Source organism: Homo sapiens, chromosome 18, assembly GCF_000001405.40.
Source record: "Homo sapiens chromosome 18, GRCh38.p14 Primary Assembly".
NCBI classification, from domain to species: domain Eukaryota; kingdom Metazoa; phylum Chordata; class Mammalia; order Primates; family Hominidae; genus Homo; species Homo sapiens.
Window position 1 is genome coordinate 70,752,155 of NC_000018.10, and position 24,332 is coordinate 70,776,486.

The following is a 24,332-nucleotide window of genomic DNA, read 5'->3' on the forward strand; positions in this document are numbered from 1 at the left end:
TGGTTGCCGCCTTGCAGTTTGATCTCAGACTGCTGTGCTAGCAATCAGCGAGATTCCGTGGGCGTAGGACCCTCTGAGCCAGGTGTGGGATATAGTCTCGTGGTGCGCCGTTTCTTAAGCTGGTCTGAAAAGCACAATATTCGGGTGGGAGTGACCCGATTTTCCAGGTGCGTCCGTCACCCCTTTCTTTGACTCGGAAAGGGAACTCCCTGACCCCTTGCGCTTCCCAGGTGAGGCAATGCCTCGCCCTGCTTCGGCTCACGCACGGTGCGCACACACACTGGCCTGCGCCCACTGTCTGGCACTCCCTAGTGAGATGAACCCGGTACCTCAGATGGAAATGCAGAAATCACCCGTCTTCTGCGTCGCTCACGCTGGGAGCTGTAGACCGGAGCTGTTCCTATTCGGCCATCTTGGCTCCTCCCCCGGTGCTATTATTAAATGTGGTCCAGATAGAGTATTGCTGAAATTCTCAGAAAGGAAGTATGTTTGGCTTACAACCTAATAACGCCACAGCTTGATTACAACTCCCTGATGCCTTCTTTATGGACATCCCAGGCTTTGGGTATGTCCATAATAGCCTCTTGACCAAAGATGGTTCAAATATCGGGCATATACAAGAGGCTAAACCCTTAAATGTTTGAATAAATCTAGCTATGTTCTTCCTGAAACTGCCCAATCCCCACTGAAAAATGGAGTCCGTTGAAAGACTGTGGTCCATTATCTCTACATACCTCCAGAAAAGAGTTATTATCCCTATACTAGCCCTTGTGATCCTTTTGTTCTGTCTGTTACAAACACAAATTAGTATGACTGCCACTTTGTACAAGATTTAAGGGCCATTAACACAATTTTACTTTCCTGCTTTCCTATTATCTCAAACTCAAATACTGTCCTATCTACAATCTCTAGAACTGCTGCTTACTTTACAGTGGTAGATCCATGCTTAGCATTCTTTAGTAATTCTTTTCTTCCAGACTCACTGTATCTATTTACACTCACTTGGAAACAATACTCATGAACAATTGTGACCAAGAATTTACAGAAACACCCTCTTACTTCTTGGAAATACTCAATGACACCTGAATGACTGGAGACATTCTATTTCCCAAGGACTCCACTCTTATATAATATATAGATGATCTTGTTTGCTCTCTAGATTGAGAGTCCTGCAGAATTGATTTATTCCACTTGCTAATAGTGTAAGTGTACAGGCACACAAAGTCTCTAGGGGTAAACTCCAATTTTGTCAGCCCCACGTGTATTTTCTTGGCCATGATATCAAACAAAAATTAAGGGTCTTTTCCCTCAAAGACTGCAGGTTATTCCCGACTTTCCTGGCCAATTACTGAAAGACATCTTAGAAAATGTCTTATTCCCATACAATATTGTAGACATGGATTTCTAACTTTTCTCGACTAACTGCCCCCTCCTGTAAGCTAATGAAAACTGACAATCCTGCATTATAGACTCACTAGAGAATGTATTTTACCACTTAAATAACTCTCCAATGATCATACATCTTTCTTTCTGTTAGTACATTGAGACAAGTTTGGAGGATTCTAACTTAACAAGAAAATGGGCATCAGAGACTCACTGCTTATTATATCTTCACATTGATTTCATGACAAAAAGCCTGCCCTCCTTGTTTGCACACAGTGGCAGCAGTGCAAGCTCAGCTGAGGCAACTGATGACTTAGTCTTAAGATTTTTGCTTAACCCTGTGGTTCCTCATATCATTGAGACCTTCCTTTGGACTGAAAACTCCTTCAATTCTTCTGTTACTAGACTGGCTTCCTTTGAAATCCTTTATTCTTGGTGGATATGTTTATTGCTTTGATTGTAGTGTTGATATCACAGATGTATACATACGTCTGAACTTATCAAATTGTGTACACTAAATGAGCAGGGTTTTTTTGTATATCAATTATACTTCAATAAAGCTGTAAAAAATCCCTTTACCTATAGACATTTCTATCCATTGTTGCAAAATCCTAAAATCTGCTATTCCTCTTCCTCTCCCACATGACTGCTATATACTTATTTGGGAGTTTTTCTTGCTACGACCTGGACACTTTGAAACTCTTTTAGACTACCTAAATTGTGAAGTATTGTGGATAAAACCTGTTTGAGAACTGAGCAAGGACACTATTAAGCTGGGTATGCAATCAGAACACACTAACATTTATTCAAATTCAACTCTCTTCGAGATACTAAATCTGCACAAGTTGCCAAAGTTATAGCTCTTACTAAGTCCTGCCAGTTAGCTACAGATAAGAGAGAAATGCCTATATAGAAACATTTTTGTAGTGGTGCAAGATTTTGGTATGCTTTGGAAGAAACATCACTTCTTAATTACAGATGGTATATTCCAATTAAAGCAAAAACATAAAAGCAATTTTAGGAAGCAAAGGTTCATGTTGCAACAGATTAATATACTAAACAATCTGTGTTAACACATCCAAGCTGCCAAGCAAGTCCAAAATTCAAAGCTAAAATGAATTCCTGACTATTGGCATTAGGCCTTGAGTCAATTTCAGAATCAAACACCTGATTCTGAAATAACACACTGGAAAAATAAGATTGTTTGCTTCACCCAGAAGGCAGCTGGTGGTGCCAAGACAGCTATTTAGTCTTCATTGAGATGCTGAAATAGAATCTCTCAAAAAAAAAAAAAAGCTGGTTGTAACCGTACATGGAAAGGATAATTTAAAATATATCCTGAAGAAGTATCGATGGGGAAACCCCAACAAGATTGAAGAGCACGTCTTTGGTGTATCTTCCATCAAACCCCCAAATCCTGTGCAAACCTTGTCCCAAATGTGGGACAAGGACATGAGCGAAAACTTTTAGGCTATTGAGTATATCTGCAAATAGATTTCATTCAGTTGTTCCCTTGTGTGGTCATGAATATGTTCTTAATCATAGAATAGTGTGTGTTTTCTGGTTGGCTGGGATTGTTTCCTTTTCATAAAGTAACTCTTCTGACAGTAGCAAAGCAACTTTCCGACTCTGTGTTTCTCACTTGAGTAATATTCGTCTATTTATCTTGTTTTGGGGTACCCATGTCACAAGACCATTAATTAAGGCATTCTATGAAGCTTTGCCTGTCAACCAAAGCCTCACTGTTCCTACCACCCCCAGTCCTTAGAGAAATCAAGACCCATTAAAACGGAAACTTGTGAAACTCTCTGAGCAACTTCAGATGCTACAGCGAAAGGTTTACTCTCAGCATTCTGGCTGTTAGGCCCCTTTTAACAGGAACTCACAGATTATCCCCAAATGAGCTAGTCGCTGGATGCTCATCCATATGGGGATATCACCCTCAATTTTTGACTCTGCTCATTCACAGGCCAATATAGCCAAATGCTGTAGAACTTTAAGGCCAACTCATTTTCAATGAGACCTTGTGGCTTTTCCCACAGATAAGTCACAGAAAGCACTGCATGACTTTCAGCCAGGAGACCTACTGTACTGAAAATGAGAGCAATGTAAGACTATTCTTGAACTTTATTAGACGGGATTTGGAACCACAAATTGTGCAATGAAACTCCTGGGAACTACCTCTTGGATTCACATCTCTTAGTTAAAAAGACAGCATATACCCATCTCCCAGATATCCATGCCCGTGTAAAATCTAGCACTGGGAATCTCTTGGGATTCTCCAGAAGCTGATGCCATCATAAAGTAGATCTCTTTCTCAAGAACATCAGATCAAAGCCTATTAATACCAGAAACAATTAATTGCCACCTCTGTCTTTACCTGTTTCATTTTTCTTTTCATGACTATCATTTTCTCTCTGTGTTGGTTTAGGAATTTTGATTGTAAAAATGAGATTCTTTAAGGTTTTTCCTCTAATCATGCCATTTTGGGTAAATCAGTATTACACAAGCCTATTAATATCAAACCTCCCCTTCCATAGACTTGGATGGGGAGGAGATCTGTTCTGTGCACCGCAGGTCAGCCTGGGTGTTCGTTAACAGACATTACTGGTTATTCTCATGTTTATGCTTGTCTCCCTAGTCATTTGCTCTGTTTTCTCCAGGGGTTTAAATGCTGCTATGCAGCCACTCACTCGACAAATGATTGAAATATATATAACTACAAAGAAAACCATCACAAGACGCTTTGATGGCAGTCATCAACAGCCAGGCTGAGGCTGTTCTTGGAGTGGTGTAGATCAGGAGTTCTGAAAACAACAACAACAACAACAACAACAATAACAACAACAACAACAACGTATGGTCAACTGATGAGACTCAGAATCTCTGTGGGCCAAGAAGTGAGACTGTGAGTGTCCTTGAATACCTAAATGTTTTCTGCTTTGACACTGGTGTGACTTTAGCCCCACGACCATTCCTTCTCTCTTTTCTTGGCAATCCTCCCGTGAACTTAGTGCTCACCCATGTTGATAAATCTAAATTGCTCAACCAAAGGCTTCCAAATCACAAGAATAATTCCCCCCTATTCTGAGACCCATCTTTGATGAACCGTTCCTGAAACTAATGGAGATTTAGTGGTTCACTCTTTCTCAAGCATTATAATGTCATTTTATTTCTTCACCCTCTCACACACGTGTCCTTCCTGCCTCAGTGTCAACCTAGAGTGCTCTCTCGCCTGCCTCCACTCTCCATTGTCTTTAACTCCTCCTCATTCTTCAGTCTGAAGATCTAAAAGTTCTCATCCTTAGAACAGCCACCCTGAACCCCTTTGTATGCTCTTTTCCTTATAACACATATACTAATTTGCAATGATCTTTCAGTGTGATTATTTGATGACTGTCTTTCCTCCGTAATAAACTCTACACTTCACAAGGGTGAGGACTGAATCTGGTTTGCTCCTATTTTATCCCCACAATGCTTGCATGTAGCAGCTTCTTGTAAAGTGATTGTTGAAAGGTTAAAGAATGAAATGAACAAAATGATGTGAATTAATTCATTCATAACAGTAGTCAGGAATGATTTCATCAATGGAACCGGAAGATTTCAATGACATAAACTACAAATGTCTGCTTGTCTCTGCAGCAGGGGTGCTTTGACTCTGGGTTTCATTTACAGCTAGTGAAACTTAGTGGACATTTAATTCCTCTCTGAAACATTCTTTTTTAAAAGATATGTTAATATATATAATTAGATATCCATCAGATCTCATTGATCTGAGATTACACTATCTTGTTCATGACGAAGAAGGAAGAGAAAGGAGAGGGAAGCAAGGAAGAAGTGACTTTCATAATGAGAAATATAGATAGTAGAACAAAATATACTGACTTACTTGTATTATTTTGGAAGTAATTTGACTTAGTTCACTTATGCATCCAGAGTTACCATACCACAGAATGGCCAAGAGGATCTGAATTTTGCCTGATTATGCATGGCCTCGATTAGTGTGTGATGTGTTTTTAATACCCTTTTAGAAAGAAAATTGTAAGCTGTCATAACATGACTCTAACTGGAAAGATAATGTCAAACCTTCTTAGAAAACACTGTAGGATATTTCAATTCTCTTAGCAAGAAAGAGCACAAATTTAATTATGGATCAAAATGCCTTCTGCATCAAGTGGAGAGAGGTGGTTATTGGAAGTCCTGTGGTGCTTCTTATTTTTCAATATGACAGGAAACTAGAAACCCAAATATCCAAGTGATCCAATTTATATTTGTTCCCATGGTTTCTAATATGTAGTAGTACCTCATGCAGTTCTATTTGAAAACAAAAAAGGTTAATGAATTTCTTGACAATATGCAAATATATTTACGCCTAAGTTTATGGTCTCAGACAACACCCACAAACACACATATACATGACCCATGGGGTACTAGTAGTTTATTGCCAATACCACTCTTACTAACAGTGTGGTAACACATTGTAACATATTATTTGATTGTATTGTTCCTGGAGTTTCAAAGGCCTAGAAATAGAACCTTCCATGATATCATCACATGCTAAACCTGGAGAGGAAAGCAAATATCAGGACAGTGAATCTTCTTTCCCTCCTCTTTCTGAACTCTAGCCCTGTAGACTGAAGCCTATTCTCAGCATTGCCACCATCCACTGTTTTCCTGTGTATAACCTTTAATTAATGGAAGCGATTTTCACCACATTGAAGGTTTTCTATCCTGGATTACCAAGAAAAATAATGCAAGCCCACTTTCCCGTTAATCACATAGCCAAAACATGGAGGCCATTGATAAGTGATAGCTCTTCAGTCACTCAACCACTATCTGCTTCAGAAATAAGGCTAATGATATAGTCTACATTCTTCATTAGACTGAAATAACTGATATAAAATAGTTATTGGGTAATTTTTTGAGTTCAGTGAGTAAAAATTCAATCCAAAAGTAACATTGTTAGCTTTACTTAGGGTTTTTTTTCTCATGACTCGGAATACTTAAGAATATATATCTGAACAATATTGCATTATGAAAATATTTTTATACCTAAGTTTTTAAGTTTGAAAGGAAGTTACTTATCAACTTGCTCTGATGACTATCTTTAGAGTAGGCAGAATAGCCTCCCAAAGATGTCCACTTAATGTCCAGAACCTGTGAATGTTACCTTGCATGGAAAAAAGACTTGCAGATGCAATTAAGTTTTTAGACTTTACAATAGGGACACTATCTCGGATTATTTGAGTGGGCCTAGTGTAATCACATGAACCTGTAAAAACAGAGAAGTTGGCCTGAAGGCAGAAGGCAACTGAGGCACAAGGGAAAGAGAAGAGTTATGAGAGAGATACCTAAAGTAGAGCAGGATGTGGTCCCTCCTGCTGGTTTGAAAATGGAGCGGGCAATCTGATGGAGAACGCAGGACGCCCTGAGGCGCCAGCAGCTAAACATGCCTTGTAGTTCCTAGAAGCTGAATTCGGCCAACAACCTCAATGCGCCTCCAGAGAGAAACACAGCCCTGCCAACACCTTGATTTTGGCCTTGGGAGACTCCAGACAGAGGACTGAGCTGAGCTCCACTGTACCTGATGTTTTCTGCTTAACAGAAACTGAGAGGGAAAACCAAATATTGTGTTAAGTCACTGCATTTGTGGTTATTAGTTAGGGCAGCAGGAGAGAAGCCACACAATATTTCTGCCATGTTAAGATTTAATGGATTCAGTGTCTGATGAAATGTATTGATGTATAAAATATTTTATGGAAAACATCTATCCATCTATCTTCCCACTTTCTGGGGTTCATTTTCTATAAAAATGTTCCAATTTCTCAATATAAAAAATCCTTGGAACAGAAAGCTTTGAACTCTGTTGAAAATCTTGAAGAAATATATTCTGAGACAGCTTTAAACTCAGCAAAACATGTCGTTCCATCCCTTGCCTTTTCTTTCATGCCTAACCAGCTAGAAAAACCCACCCTGGAAAATCAGAAGCCATAGGTAACGCTGTCATGCTTCCATTCATTTAACACCTGCTGCAGAGTCCTTCATTCTTATTATCTCAGCTACAGATTTTGCCCTTGGACAGTTTGTTCGGTGGAAACATAAAAAGAGGCAGGCTGTTGACACAGAAGGATGATTGTTTTTCTGAGTCGGTCCTTTTAATTTAAAATGGAGCTTCAGAGAACAGGGGGATTTCTTTGCCAGATTCCCTTTCAATCCTGTAGGGCTGAGCAATACCATGGCTAGGATCGGGGTGCCTCACCCATTCATTCCATCATCTCGTGTTGTGGTACTTGTCATCTTCAGTGCTCAATAAAGGCTTGTCAAATGAATGAATGACCCAAATAGCCATTTTATTGTAAGTTTTTGGGGCTATGTAACTGAGTGCTGAGGCTCAGTCTTCATTCAGTTTTTTTAAAAAACTTGTGGTAGCCTTGCCTCGTGCAAGGCTCACTGTATAGTATATCTCATATAAGTTGGGCTACCATGTCTGTGCATCACAGGAGGGAAGGTGGTCCCTATTTCTTATCTCTAGAAGCCCGCTTCTGCATTTGCTTTGCAAAAAATACAAAGGCTTCTCAAGTGTAGGATTTACCCTAAAGCTGAAGGAGCTGTGACTCTCTGGGCAGTTATCAGGCTGATTCAGTTATTCACTAACTCCGAGGGACTTGCAGTCGAGTTGTGCTTGGGACACCTACCTCCGAGGATGCGTCCCGAGATAAACGGTCTGATATCCATGAAACCCAGGACTTCTACCAGCCCCAAAGCCAAGCAAGGACATGCAATGCATTTCTTTGTGTAGGAATAATTTAATTTTGAAATATACATATCATGTTAAAGTGTCTATTAAGGAAATTGATTTTTTTTTTTTTGAAAAATTTGAGGCCAGAGTTCTAATAATCAAGGAATCATTAACTGTGAAATTTGACTTTTCAATTTCACCAGAGCAACTGTTCTCAGGGAGTGAAATGGTAGCTCCCTTAAATGGTTTCATGAAACTGATCAGATATATATATATATATATATATATATATATATGTATAATATATATGGATATATCCATCACATATATGGATATATCCATCACCACATACATATTCCTCTATTCTTTATTGATGGTTCTTTCTCATGGCCCAGAATTCTCGAGAGTATGTGTCAGAAAAGAATAACATTATCAAACTATTTTATGCCTAATGTTTTAAATTTGAAAGAAATATCACTTATCAGTTTGTTATAGATTGATAATGTCCCCCTCAAAATTCATACATTGAATTTTTAACCCTCCCCACCCCATACCTCATAGTATGACCTTATTTTGGAAATAGGGTAATTTCAAATATAATTAGTTAGTTACATTAGTTAGTTAAGATGAAGTCATATTGGAGTGGGGTGGGCCCTTAATCCACCCTTAATCCTTATAAGGGTACCCTTCTAAAAGGGGACTATTTGGCCCCAGGCACACATGCAGGGAGAATGGGATGTGAGCATGAAGATGATAATCTACAAGCCAAGGAGAGAGGCTTGGAGTAGATTCTTCTCACATAGCTCTCAGAAGGAACCAACCCTGCCAACACCATTTCAGACTTCTGGCCTCCAGAACTATGCAATAATACATTTCTGTTGTTCAAGCTGCCCTGTTTGTTGCACTTTATTGTGGCAACCCTAGAAAATTAATACACTTAAAAAATCACTTATCATCTTGCCCCAATAACTATATTTGTGGTAGGCAGAATGACCTCCTAATAACCTCCATACCCTAACACCCAGACCTGTGAATATACTGTCACATGGCAAAAGGGACTTCGCAGGGACAATTATAGTTATGCACCAAGTAAAGATCTTATTTGGATGATTTGGGATATTTGTGTTTATGCCATGAAAACAAAACCACAAAGTAAGCTTCCAGTTGTCACGTAGGAGAACTGTATTCCTTATGGTCATGTGAGGTGGTGATTCCGAAAAGGTCTGGGGAACTGATTAGTAGCACGTGCTTTGAAGGAAAAACTCAGTGTCTCCAAAGGCCCAAATGAGAATTTTTTATCTTATGTTACTATCATTATAAATGGATTAAATAGCAACATTATTTTTATTTGAAATTTCAAAGCATACTGAAGACAGTGAAAGATTTTTACGCTGATCAACTATGGGTCAAAACAAATGAGGACCTCCTCGTAGGGTTAGTTTTTTATGTTTTCAAAAGAGCCACATATGAATAGGAAAATGAGTCCACTGTTGTACCCAGCATTTGCTTCTTTATAGGAAATCAAATTACACTTAAGTGGATACCTTCATTTTTTACAAAAATAAATACTACTTTTGTTGTTTTTGTTTTTATGTATTTACAGGCTTGTCAAAGTGGTTGCCTTTTCTTAATTCCTGCATGTTGTTTATTATTCTGCATTGATTTTTAAATGCTTTTAACATTTTATATTTTTTTGCCTTGTATTCTAAGAAGCCTAGTCATTGCCTGTTGTTTTTCTTCACTCTCTTTGTTGAAATGACTGTTATTTTCAATTCACTCACCCCCACACTTACATATGACCTTTTTACATTTTCCCAGTGTCTTGATGTACTTCTCCTCAACCTTAAATCTGAGACACATTTTTCAAAGCATATAGAACATCTTTATGTTTCCTAAGGAAAACTCTCTTATAGTATTGGGCTGCATGCACACACACACACACACACACACATGCTTACACGCACATCTAGAGATCTGTTGGCATTCTATCAGTGCCAACGATATGGACATCAAGTGAAGTTTCTGACATAAAGATGTTCTATATGCTTTGAAAAATGTGTCTTAGATTTAGGGTTGAGGAGAAGTACATCAAGACATTGGGAAAATATAAAAAGGTCATCTGTAAGTGTGGGGGTGAGTGATTTGAAAACAGTCAATTCGACAAATACACAATCTTTTTTAACTTACTGATTTCTGACTGATTTTTTTGAAAATCTCAAGTTGTATCTACATAAGTTCAGAGAAACTGCATTATTTTTCTAAAAACAGTTAATTCCTGTATAATTGCGTTTAACTAACTCAACTGAAAGCACACGTAGTTGATGGTAGGTAAACATTGGGTTGCCATTACTTTCAATGGCAAAAACTGCAATTACTTTTGCACCAACTTAATACACAATATTCTTAGTTTGCAAGTTATGAATTTATCTTTTTCTTCAAGCTAAAGATTGGTCTTTGAAAGCTGTGGCGACATGCCCTAAGGCCCCAGCCTCCGGGTTTAGAGGCTCCTGTAAAATGAGCCACCCACGCTGAGCGCAATCTCCTCCCTGCAGCTCCCTGCCATGTTTCATGGAGGGCCCCAAAGGTCAAGTGAGGAGGCCGCTTGCACAGGAGAGGAGGGAGCTCCCTTTGCCTCGCCCTGTGGCGGGAAATTAATATTTTTGGAGTTATATAAAGGAGGTTTTGTGGATATCCCACTGACATGAGAATTAATTCATTACTTGTGGATTATTAACGCATGCTCAGCAAATATGTTTTTTAGATTGTTAAGAAGAGGAAAAGACATTGGCTAATTAAACTTCTCATTTACCTTTTAGATTTCAGTGTGTAACTTTCAAAAATGTGTGCTTTGGCTGAAAAGGCCTTTCTTTTAAACAAAGATTTAAAATGTAGTTTTGTGGTTAAAAAAAAATCACTCTAAAAGCCTCATCATTTAGTACTAAAGAAGAGAATAAAGAGTAGATTTTAGTATTCCTGGGACTCTCACAAACCAAGGAGGTCTAGGAAAAGAACTGCTACAATTCCTCAGGTTTTGCTAAAAGTCTCATTTTAAATTCTAAGGTCTCATTTTACATGGGAAAGAAAAGAATATTATTCATAAGCAAAATAAAGAGAAATACTTGATATAAATTTTTAAAATCTTATTGGGGAACCACTTTATCTTTTAGCCACATCTGGGATTTGTGGCTTGAACCATCATCTCTGTCATGTATTCCACCGACACTAGCAAGCCTCAGGCCCACAGCTAGTCTATCGATGGGAGGTCTTTGAATAAGTTAGAAAAGGCTCTCCCGCTGGGTGGATGCAACTCACAGGTACACAGCCTGCTGCTTTTGTGAGAAGAAAGCACTCCCAGAACAGCATCCCCCAGAGGGAGCAGCTTTGCTGGCAGAAGGTCCCAGGGTACAGCCCTGCTTACCCCTTGGTGTGGTCCTTTTGTACATTGGTGCCTTTTGGGCCGTGCTTGGCTGGCCAATCATACCGTGAATTTGCATGTTGATTGTACTATTTGTAGGACTGTTTTCCTATGTTGCCGTTAATCTCCTTATTTTTAAGAACAAGTATGTCATATCTGCCGCCTGAGAGCCAGCAGTCTATGCTCTTACACAGCACTCCCAGCAGAATCCTCTCTCAGGAGAAAAAGCTCAAGTGGAAACAGACCTATTTACTGATCAGCAGAGGAAATCCATGCCAGCTCTCAAGGGTCACTGGGGATATGAGGGGGACCAAGAGCATGGAAGAGAGAAATGAAGACAAATGAGCGATGGAGCTGATGGCGAGAAGACAGAAATACTACAGAGAACGAAATGGAGCTCAGATACATCAGACCCACGTGAAAATCCCACTGTTCACATATTCTCAGATTTAAGAAGATACTGCAATCAATGTAAAAAGAACAGAATGGCACAGGAAAATGAATAATTCAAGAAAAAGAAAGAATTCATAGAAATCAAGAAATAAATTTGAACAACTCCCCAGAACATGGAGCAACAAATTAAAAAATGAAAACATGAGACTGTTCTGAGTGCTGATGTAGAATGGATTGCTGTGTGGGGTGGGGGGAGTTTCACCACGAGAGAAGTAGTAGAGAGTGTGCATTCCTCACCCTCTCAGTGCCCCTCACCCAGGCCAGTATGAGGATGGTCAGTGCTGCAGGTGAGAGAGGCTGCCCCCTAACATTCATGGGCAGCATTTATGTGTGTCTCAAAGGAACATCTGTGTGACTTTGTAACAGTGGAACCTCCCTGGTCCCATAAGTGGTCTTGCTGAGAAGCGGGGTGTCGAGGATGGGGAGTCCTCAGTACCCACTGGCTGGTGTTGGTCTGTTTGTTTTCCTGTTGAGCTAACTTTCACATCCTGACCCTGCTCTCTGCTAAGCTATCAAGGCAGAGAGCAAGTCAGCCTCCAGGGTCCTCTAGATAGAATTGCCCCAGAAACATTGATGATTTGGTGATGCAGCATCTGACTCACAAAAAGGTCAGAGTGAAAGCAAAAAGATCATGGACAAAAAGGACATTCTCAAAGAAATTCTAAAAATAATAATAATTTTTTAGTGCTGGAGAAAGACCCAAATCTTCATACTGAAAGACCCTAAATAATAAAAATAAGAGTAAAAATAAACCCTTCTAACATATTGCAAAGGAAAAAGCCAATCAGATTATCTACAAAGAAATGAGAATCAGGCTGATATCAGATATTTTTAATCATCAAAATTCAATGCTAGAAGATAACAGAGGAATGCCTTCAAAATTCTGAAATCATTTGGAACCCAGAATTCCAACAGAGCTAAGCTGTCAATGAAGTGTGAAGTCAGAGAAAACATAATTTTGGACATTGAGTACTCAAAATATTTATTCTCCCCATGGCTTTTCTTAGAAAGTTACTTAAATATTATAGCAAATGAGAAGTCTTGCCTGACTTCCAGGACCTAGGAAACAATGGCTCTAACCCACATGAGCTAGTGAGGGAGTTTCCAGAATGGTAGCTCATAGCAGTACCAGAGTTCAGATGAGAGCATGAAGATAGAGACCTCCAGGGAGGAAGGAGAGAATTCTCCACTTAATAGGTGATATAACTGAGAGGACAGAGAAATTAAAGCAAAATCCAGGAAAAACAGTGGTAAAACCAAAGCTATAGCCCAAATACAAAGCAAACTAAGATGTGTCACAGTAAGTAATCACTGATGGAGAATACTACAGCGATAGTTCATTTTACATTTGTACTAGGAGCTACATGGGTCCCAGGGTCATGTCATTGAAATGTAGAAAGGGAAGTTCAAACCTCATACACTAAGTGACTTAGGAAGTGAATATTTAGGGAAGGAGTCTTTCCTTTTCAATTGTTTGGAATAGTTTCAGAAGAAATAGTACCAGCTCCTTTTTGTACTTCTGGTAGAATTCAGCCATAAATACATCTGGTCCTGGGCTTTTTTTGGTTGGTAGGCTATTTGTTACTGCCTCAGTTTCAGAACTTGTTATTGGTCTATTCAGGGATTCAGCTTCTTCCTGGTTCAGTCTTGAGAGGGTGTATGTGTCCAGGAATTGATCCATTTCTTCTAGATTTTCCAGTTTATTCACGCAGAGGTGTTTATAGTATTCTCTGATGGTCGTTTGTATTTCTGTGGGGTCAGTGGTGGTATCCTCATCATTTCTCATTGTATTTATTTGAATCTTCTCTCTTTTCTTCTTTATTAGTCTAGCTAGCGCTCTATTTATTTTATTGTTTTTTTTTTTTTCCAAAAAGCCAGCTCCTGGATTCGTTGATTTTTTGCAGGGTTTTTCGTGTCTCTGCCTCCTTCAGTTCTGCTCTGAGCTAGATTATTTCTTGTCTCCTGCTAGCTCTGGGGCTTGTTGGCTCTTGGTTCTCTGATTCTTTTAGTTCTGATATTAGGGTGTCAATTTGGGATCTTTCTAGCTTTTTGATGTGGGCATTTAGTGCGATAAATTTTCCTCTTAACACTGCTTTAGCTGTGTCCCGGAGATTCTGGTGCATTGTTCCTGGTACATTGTCCCTAACTCATTTTATGAGGCCAGCATCATCCTGATACCAAAACCTGGCAGAGACACAACAACAACAACAAAAAAAGAAAATTTCATGCCAGTATCTCTGAAGAACATCGATGCAAAAATCCTCAATAAAATACCGGCAAACAAAATCCAGTGGCACATCAAAAAGCTTATTCAGCACAATCTAGTCAGTTTCACCCCTGGGATGCAAGGCTGTTTCAACATACACAAATCAATAAACATAATTCATCACATACACAGAACTAAAGACAAAAACCACACGATTATCTCAATAGATGCAGAAATGGCCTTCTATAAAATTCAACATCCTTTATGTTAAAAACTCTCAATAAACAAGGTATTGAAGGAACAGATCTCAAAATAATAAGAGCCATATATGACAAACCCAAAGCCAATATCATACTGAATGGAGACAAATGAATTCATACTGAATGGGCAAAAGCTAGAAGCATTCGTCTTGAAAACTGGCACAAGACATGTATGCCCTCTCTCACCACTCTTATTCAACATAGTATTGGAAGTTCTGGCCAGGGCAATCAGGCAAGAGAAGGAAATGAAGGGTATTCAAATAGGAAGAGAGGAAGTCAAATTGTCTTTGTTTGCAGATGACATGATCCTGTATCTAGAAAACCCCAAAGTCTCAGTCCAAAAGCTTCTTAAACTGATAAGCAACTTCAGCAAAATCTCAGGATACAAAATCAACGTGCAGAAATCACAAACATTCCTTTATACCAACAACAGAGAAGCAAAGAGCCAAATCATGAACTCCCATTCACAACTGCCACAAAGAGAATAAAATACCTAGGAATACAGCTAACAGGGGAAGTGAAGGACCTCTTCAAGGAGAACTACAAACCACTGTTCAAGGAAATCAGAGAGGGCACAAGCAGATGAAAAAACATTCCATCCTCATGGATAGGAAAAATTAATATCGTGAAAATGGCCGTACTGCCCAAATCAATTTATAGATTCAATACTATCTCCATTAAACCACCACTGTCTTATATATATATGTAATTATTTTATTATTATTATTTTTTGAGATGGAATCTCACTCTCTTGCCCAGGCTGGGGTGCAGTGGCACAATCTCAGCTCACTGCAACCTCTGCCTCCTGGGTTCGAGTACTTTTCATGCCTTAGTCTCCTGAGTGCCTGGGATTACAGGCGTGCACCACCACACGTGGCCAATTTTTGTATTTTTAGTAGAGACAGGGCTTTACCATGTTGTCCAGGCTGGTCTCAAATGCCTGACCTCAAGTGATCCACCCACCCCTGCCTCCCAAAGTGCTGGGACTACAGGCATGTGCTACTATGCCCCATTCACATTCTTCACAGAATGAGAAAAAAGAAAACTATTTTAAATTTCATATTAAACTAACAAAGAGCTCGTATAGCCAGGACAATCCTAAGCAAAAAAGAATAAATCTGGAGGGATCAGGCTACCTGACTTCAAAGTATACCACAAGGCTATAGTAACCAAAACAGCATGGTACTGGTTGGTATAAAAACAGGCACATAGACCAATGGAACAGAATGGAGAACTCAGAGATAAAACCACACATCTACAACCATCTGATCTTTGACAAACCTGACAAAAACAACCAATGGGGAAAGGAATCCCTACTTAACAAATGGTGCTGAGAGAACTGACTAGCCATATGCAGAAAATAGAAACTGGACCCCTTTTGTTCACCTTATACAAAAATTAACTCAAGGTGGATTAAAGACTTAAATGTAAAATCTAAAACTATAAAAACTCTAGAAAAAAATCTATGCAATACCATTCAGGACATAGGTATGGGCAAAGATTTTATGATGAAATCACCTAAAGCAACGGCAACAAAAGCTACAATTGACAAATGGGATCTAATTAAACTAAAGAGCTTATGCACAGCAAAAGAAACTCATCAAAATAAACGGACAACCTACAGAATGGGAGAAAATTTTTGCAATGTATCCATCTGACAAAGTTCTTATATCCAGAATCTACAAGGAACTTAAGCAAATTTACAAGAAAAAAAACAAGCCCTTTAAAAAGTGGGCAGAGGCCGGACGTGGTGGCTCACGCCTGTAATCCCAGCACTTTGGGAGGGCGAGGTGAGCGATCACAAGGTCAGGAGATCGAGACCATTCTGGCTAACATGGTGAAACCCGTCTCTACTAAAAGTACAAAAAATTAGCTGGGCGTGGTTGCGGGTGCCTGTAGTCCCAGCTACTCGGGAGGCTGAGGCAGGAGAATGGTGTGAACCCGGGAGGCGGAGCTTGCAGTGAGCCGAGATTGTGCCACTGCACTCCAGCCTGGGTGACAGAGCGAGACTCTGTCTCAAAAAAAAAAAAAAAAAAAAAAAAAAGTGGGCAAAGGACACGAACAGACAATTTTTAAAAGAAGACATACATGCAGCCAACAAACATGAAAAAAACTCATCATCACTGATCATTAGAGAAATCCAAGTCAAAACCACAATGAGATACCATCTCACACCAGTCAGAATGATGATAATTAAAAAGTCAAGAAACAACAGATACTGGTGAGGTTGCAGAGAAATAGGAACACTTTTACACTGTTGGTGGTAATGTAAATTAGTTCAACCATTGTGGAAGACAGTGTGGTGACTCCTCAAAGATTTAGAGCCGGAAATACCATTTGACCCAGCAATCCCATTACTGGGTATATACCCAAAGGAATATAAATAATACTGCTATAAACATACATGCACATGCATGTTTATTGCAGCACTATTCACAATAGCAAAGACGTGGAATCAACGCAAATGCCCATCAACGATAGATTGGAAAAAGAAAATGTGGTACATATATACCATGGAATACTATGCAGCCATAAAAACGAATGAGATTATGTCCTTTGCGGGGGCATGGATGAAGCTGGAAGCCATTATTCTCAGCAAACTAATTCAGGAACAGAAAACAAAACACTGCATGTTCTCACTTATAAGTGGGAGCTGAACAATGAACACATGGACACGGGGAGGGGAACAACACACACTGGGGGCTTTTGGGGGAGGGTGGATGGTAGGGGGAGAGGATTAGGAAAAAGAGCTAATTAATGCTGTGCTTTATATGCAGGCAATGGGTTGATAGGTACAGCAAACCACCATGGCACACGTTTACCTATGTAACAAACCTGCACATCCTGTACATGTATCCTGGAACTTTTAAATTAAATAAAAAAAAAAACAGTAAAAGAAAAAAATAAAGAAAAGTGAATATTTGTGAAGTCCTGATAATGAAATCCTGGCTATTGGTCTTTCAACTTTTAGGATCAACCTATAAAATGCATAGAAGATTTGGTTGTTATTACAGAACAAACTATGCATGTTTTCAACTTTGAAAGTATTGAAGTTCAGTTGGGCAGACAGCATGTGTTGGGGGAGAAGCATGGAGGGTGGATAGGGTGGTAAATGTGCTGATTTTCTCACCTTATAAAGTGAGTGTTACTGATATTGTTGATAATTGATGGTATGGGAAATATTTAGATATATTATTTGAAGCTACTCAGGCAATTAATAGAAAATGTTTATGTAATTATACAACTTTACAAAAATAGATGGTATGAATCAATATTATGAATCTTTTATAGTAGGATGTAAAAAATACTGTTAAAGTTGAGAAATGAAGATACAAATATATTTCTTAGTGTTTTGTAGCTCACCGTGAGAAGATTTGAAATGAAGAGTTCAAAGAACTGGTCTCTGATGAATGGCATTGGGATGGTGAGGTCTGGAAAAAGATGGGAAAAAGGACTTCAGCTTTCATCAAGAGCCCTTCTCTAACAAACACTAGATGTATTATTTCGTGTATTCATTATTCTGATAAAACGTGAAAAATCATATGAAAATAGAGTATAAATAATTCTATTAATCTGAAACAATTTAGTTCTTTAGAATGTGTCTTAATATATTATTCTTCAGTATAGTATTGTTTTACATATACAAAAACTACTGAATTATCATAGTAAAACATACAAACAATTTTGATACAGTAAATGTTTCTCTTAACTTTGATCAAACTTTATTTGCCACTCTGGTAATATTCTCTAGTTGGTCCTATGAGACCATTATCTATACTCTTAAATTATACATATAGGTACCTAGAGCAGCTTGTTTGATTTTATTTGTGTATATAACTTTAACATAAATAGACCCCTCTAAATATCAATATGGAATTCTTTTTTAACTTGTTGATATATTTCAGTGAGAGTTTAATTTCAGTATGCATAGATTTGCCTTATGGTACATTTCTTTTTGTGCTCTTTATTTTTTTCATATTTAGGAGAAGAATTTCTAGACAATAGGATATAGGCACTTTGAACTTTATACTCTTTCACAGACTATATGAAAATGCATGTTTTCCCAAATCTTCACCTATAAAGGGTGAAATACAATGTATCACAATACTATGTCAATATATTATTGCTCTATTGTGGTTTGATTTTAAATTCCTTGATTCATATTCTGTTACATTATTTGATTTACTTTTCATTTTGCTGGAGTACTTAAGTTACTTTTAAGCAAATGCATGGTGATGGAATAAATGTTTTGACTACTTAAATGTCTGAAGTCTATGATAACAAATTTTTAATTTTAGATGAAATGAAGAAATTTCAAGAAAACTGCAACTTACTAAAACTGACACAAGAAGAAAGTCTAAAATTTTTCATATTTATGTAATTGAATCTGTTACAAATGAAAGGAAGGATTTCTTTATATATTCTGGATAGTAATCACTTTTTATAATACATGTTTGAAATACCTTTCACCCACTTGTCACTTGACTTTTAATACCCTCTATGGTGCTCTCTGACACATAGAAGTTTTAAAAATGTAAGTAGAATGTCCAAGATATTACTAGTGTTTCCTGATGTGCCTTGTTCATCTTACCTTTTGGGAAAACAGAAGGTTGCTTGGTCTGTTTCCTGTTAATTTAGGCATGGCCATGTGACTGTCTTTGCCCAGTGACATGTCACTTCCAGGGGAAATCATTTGAGTCAGTTTACAATTCTCCATGTCGTTCTTTCCCTAGAGCATTGACCAAGGTGGTGTATATTCTAAATGGTACAGCTATTCAATAGCGGAGGAATAGAAAAAAATAGCAAACAAATGATAAGAATGTAGATTTAAACCCTGTTATTGATGAAATACTTAAACACATTAAAAAACAGTGCCACTGGATAAAAAAGAAAGTCTTACTATTATAATATATGCTGCTTCCTAGAGATATGTCTTAAATATAAGAAACCAGAAGGTTAAAAATAAAAGTATGGAAAAGCATGTTCAGAAAAACCTAATAAAACAAATCTACCTTGAATATGCCAATATTAGATTAAGTCTATTTTAAGGAAAGAAGCATTACTAGAGATAAAAAATTCATCATAATTAAAGGGTCAAACAACTAGGGAGACTTAACAATTCTTAATTAAAATGAAAACCTAATTGCATAGCTCAAATAATATACATATATAAAGAAAAGCACATAAAGCCAAAATTGATACAAATAAAAATATACAGATCTACACTTGTCTCAGAAAGTGATACAACAAACAGATGCAATATTGGTAAGGACATAGAAGAGCTCAACGCTTTGTTCCACAGCATGATTGATATGTATAAAATACTGCACCCATCAATTCAGTGATGTACTCCTTTTAAGTACTCACAGATTATTTAACTAAATTGCTCATGTTTAGGGCTACAAAGCAAGTCAACAGATTGCAAGCAATTAAAAGCTTGCAGAGTATGTCTATTGACCATAGCTCAAATAAACTAGACATAAAAACAAAATGCTAGATAGACAGTACCCAAATGTTTTAAAATTAAACAACTTACCCTTAAATAACCCAAGAAATGGAATCTGTTATAAATGAAAAGAGAAGGAGTGTCTAGAAGTCAGTAGATTTTAATAGTTAAGGAAGCTTGAGACCTAAAAGAACAAGTGTTTCTTTCACAAATGGATGTGAATTGCACTACGGAGTAGGAGAGACTCCAGTACCACCTCTGGAACTTGAGGGCTCCGAGGTGTAAAAATGAATATTCTTTACTACAGAGAGCAGCAGAGAACCTGTACTATCAGAGGAGAGTTCTATTTCAATTGGGAGAGAAAATTAGAGGCACATATTGGTGAAGAAGCTTAGGATTTTTTGAAATACCTGAAATTCAGAAACATAATTATGAATACACATATTACTAGAAAATTTCAATGCAGGTTAAAGGTAGTGACAGGCAAATGCTGTGTTTAAATAAAAAATTGATCTTACTCTTTTGGTATTTATTTTGATGACTTTAAAATTGCCAGAGGGTTCAACAGACATCCCTAATCATTTCCATCCAACTTCTAGCTATTCCCAAAGCCTTATCCACCCAGAAATACAATCATTAAGGTTTACTGGGCTGAAGTGTGGGAGGGAATGTAAGTGTCTGCTGTATACATTTATGAGGTAATGAATTTTTTTAAAAGATTAAAAGTTTAAGGTTTTTTTGTTTAGATTGTTTGAAAACATCCACTCTCCTAATGTAAGTACCTCTGTGGATATAGCCATATCAAAATAGTTATGACAAAATTTCAGGTATTTCTATTGGAATATAGGACAGTGGACAGGGAAGAGTTAAATCAGCTGGCCTACTCTATTTATTCACACTATTCATGTCCTATCGTGGGGATGGTGTTGGGGTATAGACCTGGGGGAACTAAAAGCAGACAGGCAACCCGGGTAACTTTGTCAGTATGCTAACCAGACTTTCTAGTAAATAGATTAATAATATTTGCTAGAACATCCTTATCTATGGGATCTTCTTAACAAGATATCTCTGTTTAAGGATTGCCAGTATGTCACATAAACTGGGATATAAAATGGACGTGTTTCATAAATGGAACATCCTCACCGTGAGGAATAATCTTTAAATAACTTTATTACTGTGGGCCGCAGAGCACTTGTCTGATGTCAAAAAGGAAGATGTGGGAACCATTCTCAAAACTCCAGGCCTCTATTTATTTCCATTTGAGCCTCTTGATTGCCTATATCTTTAACTTGATTAGTAAAATCTGTTAATGGGCAAGATCCTTGATTCATTTGAGTTTGAAATGATAATGTGTTCCTTTATGTTTTCTCAGGCATCTCTGTGAGTCTGTGGTTTCAGAAAAGACTTTTTGTAAGAGCTAAGTCTGAAAGCCTTAGCTCAGTTTGCTTAGTCAAGAAGGGTGCAGCTGGATAAAAAGAACATGAACAAAATTTTTAAAAAAGCCCAAATAATGGAACAACAAAAAAACTGTGAAGGATAGTGTCATTGGGAGTGACAAGAGGTAAGTTTACAAAACAGGACAGGGCCAGATCATGCTTAGGCCAACTTGTGAGAGGTGGCCTTCCTTGGCATTCACAGCAGACACACCCAGAACTGCAGAGAGAGCAGGTGGAACCTCTGCAGATGCTATTTTGAAGGTAAGCAGAGAGACTGGCGAGGCAGCCGTTCCAGCAGCTCAGTTGAGAAATGACCTGGGCTGAACCAGGATAGGGATGCAGCAGAAGGAATGCTTTTGTAAACCATTTGGGAGGGAAAACTTTTAGGTCTTGCCTGTTGATTGGGCATGAGGCTTGAGGCAGAGAACAGAGTCGAACTGAGAACAAACTTTCTAGCTGGAATGGCGGATGAGATGGTGAGGCTGTGGCCTGAAAGAGTTCATGCAGGAGGAGAAAGGAATTCAGGAGGTGTATGATAAAAGTTCTGTTTCAAACACCTAAAGCTTGAGGTGCCTGTGGGGTATGGAGGTGGATATTTCCAAGATGTGTCTGAGCCATGAGAACCCAGAGAAGCTCACATGTAAGGTCTAGAGCAAATGTGGGCATCATATGTATATAGTTTGCAGTTCAAACTCTGGGAGAGGACGAGATTGCCGGTGAACAAAGAATACAATAAAAAGGCCAGAGCACTCACGGGCTAGTTTGTAATTTTTATTGAGCACGAATGTGTTTATCACTGGATTCTTCAGGACTCTGTAGTTAAATAAGGTAACTGTATTGTGAGCCTTGTATTTAGAGAATATATAGGATTGATCTTCCTGGTTTACTCTGAGGATCTGTATATTGATAAAATGTGATTATATTATATAGTTTCCAGAAGAGATAATTTATATCATGTACAATGATGATATAGCTTGTTTGATGTCATTATTCTAATAAATAGGAAATCCAGCTTATCTGCAAATCATACTTATGCTTCTCTCTTTATCAGCATGTACTCAATAAGCACTTGGTAATTGTATGTTATATAAATGAAGCTATGCATATGTAATGTCCGTCATGTTATTTGGAAGGGGGCATCTGTGCTAAACAAGCTAAACACTTTTATTACCAAAAACATCAAGGAATGCAAATACCATAACTTCCTGCAAGTTGTTTATTGCCTATGAAAAGTAGCTAAAAAGTATTATATATTGCCATTTCATCATTCCATGAGATTACTTTATTGTTAAGTTGAAGTGACTGCTGGCTTTATTAAACTCAGTGCAATATTGGATTTCATTACAAATTTTCATTTTCATAGTGATAATGTCTTCCGCAATACAACACTCTTCATTTATTACTTCATTTTCACTTCTTTTTAGCTTTTGTTTTCATACAAACTCTAAAATGAATAAGCTCAGGGAAAGCCTCTTGTGACTAAAGATTTCTTATACTTCAACCTTTGGAAAATTTACATAAACATTACTTGTCATCCCATTGTGATATGGGCATATGAGATTTGATTCTCATTTTGGGAAATATTTTGTCACAACAAGAAAGGGCTTTGCTTTCTCTTCAATTTTTGTTAGAGATGGTGAAAATTTGACCTCCAAACTATTATTCATAGTATGGAGAGAAATGAATATCAGAATTAACAAGCTCAGAATGCTGGAATCAAGCTGTTAAACACGACAGATCATTTTAGTTTTAATAGCCTTTTATTGTAAATTATTTTACAATACAAATTGCTTTCTTAACTTTTGTATTTCTGATAATCTTGATATTTCCTTGGCTGATATTTAATGTTTTATGTTGTATCCTTCCTTTTTCTAGAGCTATTTGTGGTAGGTCTCAATTGCTCTCCATTATTGAGACCTTTCTCCTTGGGAATAAAATTTCTCTTCATTTAAAAATCCAGTCATTTTAATGTAGTGTTACAATGACTTCTCACTCAACAACAGCGTTTTGGATAAAATGTTAATTACACCATGAAACTTCAATCATCATCATGATGGCAACACTTGCATTTTCATTTTTAATTCCTTCAGTGAGTTAACTCTTTCTATTATGACAGGGTGATGTAATGTGATGGGAATTTCAAAACAGCCCTGCCTTTGGCATAAAATAGCCCAGTGACTTTAGATCGGTCTTGCAAACAGTCTGGACCTCAGTGTACTCAACGGTATAATTAAGGAGTTTAACTTCCTTCCAGGTGTAAGTTTCTTATACTAATTTTTGTGTTTGCCTTTTTTTTTTTTCTTGGTCTATTCTGCCCTCATTTCCTCCTTCTTCCCTTCATCGTTTTCCATGGTCAAGTCTTAGAACTCACCCTAAGGCCCGCATGTTTACTGCAGACATTAAGAATTAACAGCCATGGTGCAGTTTGACATAAGCGTCTCAGTGGCCCCTGTGGGAATTTACAGACAGCACCGTGTGGCATGAGCTGTAAAAAGAAGCGTTAAACTAGTACCTATAAAAATGTGTGCTTAAAGCCTAGAATGAAAATATTGTTTGGAACTTTCAATATTAAAATGGCTCTGGATTTATTGTGCCTTTGAGGCTGACTGAGTTTTGCGCAGCCCGGTTTTATATGTGATAGTGCTATTTTTGTTGGTCGACACAACATGATAACATCTTTTGATGAAGGTCCATGAAACTGTGGGTTGGAAGCCTTTAGGGGGGTCACCAAAAGAAATGCAGTCCTTTAAATGTCAGCAAAATGAAAGGACACAGTCACTTTCTGTTGGTTTTTATATATCTATGTGCACTTGGGGGAGATTTTCTTTTCTAAGCCCTCTCATTCTTCCTCAAGATATTTCTGTAACAATAGGCAAATAATCTTGGGGTATGAGGAGTATGTTTGTAAATCTATTTGTATAATGTTGATGTAAATACCAGAAATAGAAGCAAATATCAGAAAAACAAAAGCATTTAAAATATGTGCAGAGAAAA

General features: G+C 37.8%; 1 long non-coding RNA gene across 2 annotated transcripts in view; it reads left to right on the forward strand.

Annotated features, from left to right (window-relative positions):
* The first annotated feature begins 3,862 nt into the window (after nucleotides 1–3,862).
* The window catches only part of LOC105372185 (uncharacterized), a 30,515-nt gene continuing 10,045 nt past the window's right edge, over nucleotides 3,863–24,332 (forward strand). The window contains exons 1-2 of one of the 2 annotated variants that reach the window (XR_007066413.1): nucleotides 3,863–4,291; nucleotides 21,275–21,463. This is a non-coding gene — a long non-coding RNA (uncharacterized LOC105372185). Of the gene's footprint in view, nucleotides 4,292–17,804; nucleotides 18,719–21,274; nucleotides 21,464–24,332 lie in introns of those variants that run through there. The other variant, XR_001753500.2, reaches the window with a different exon arrangement.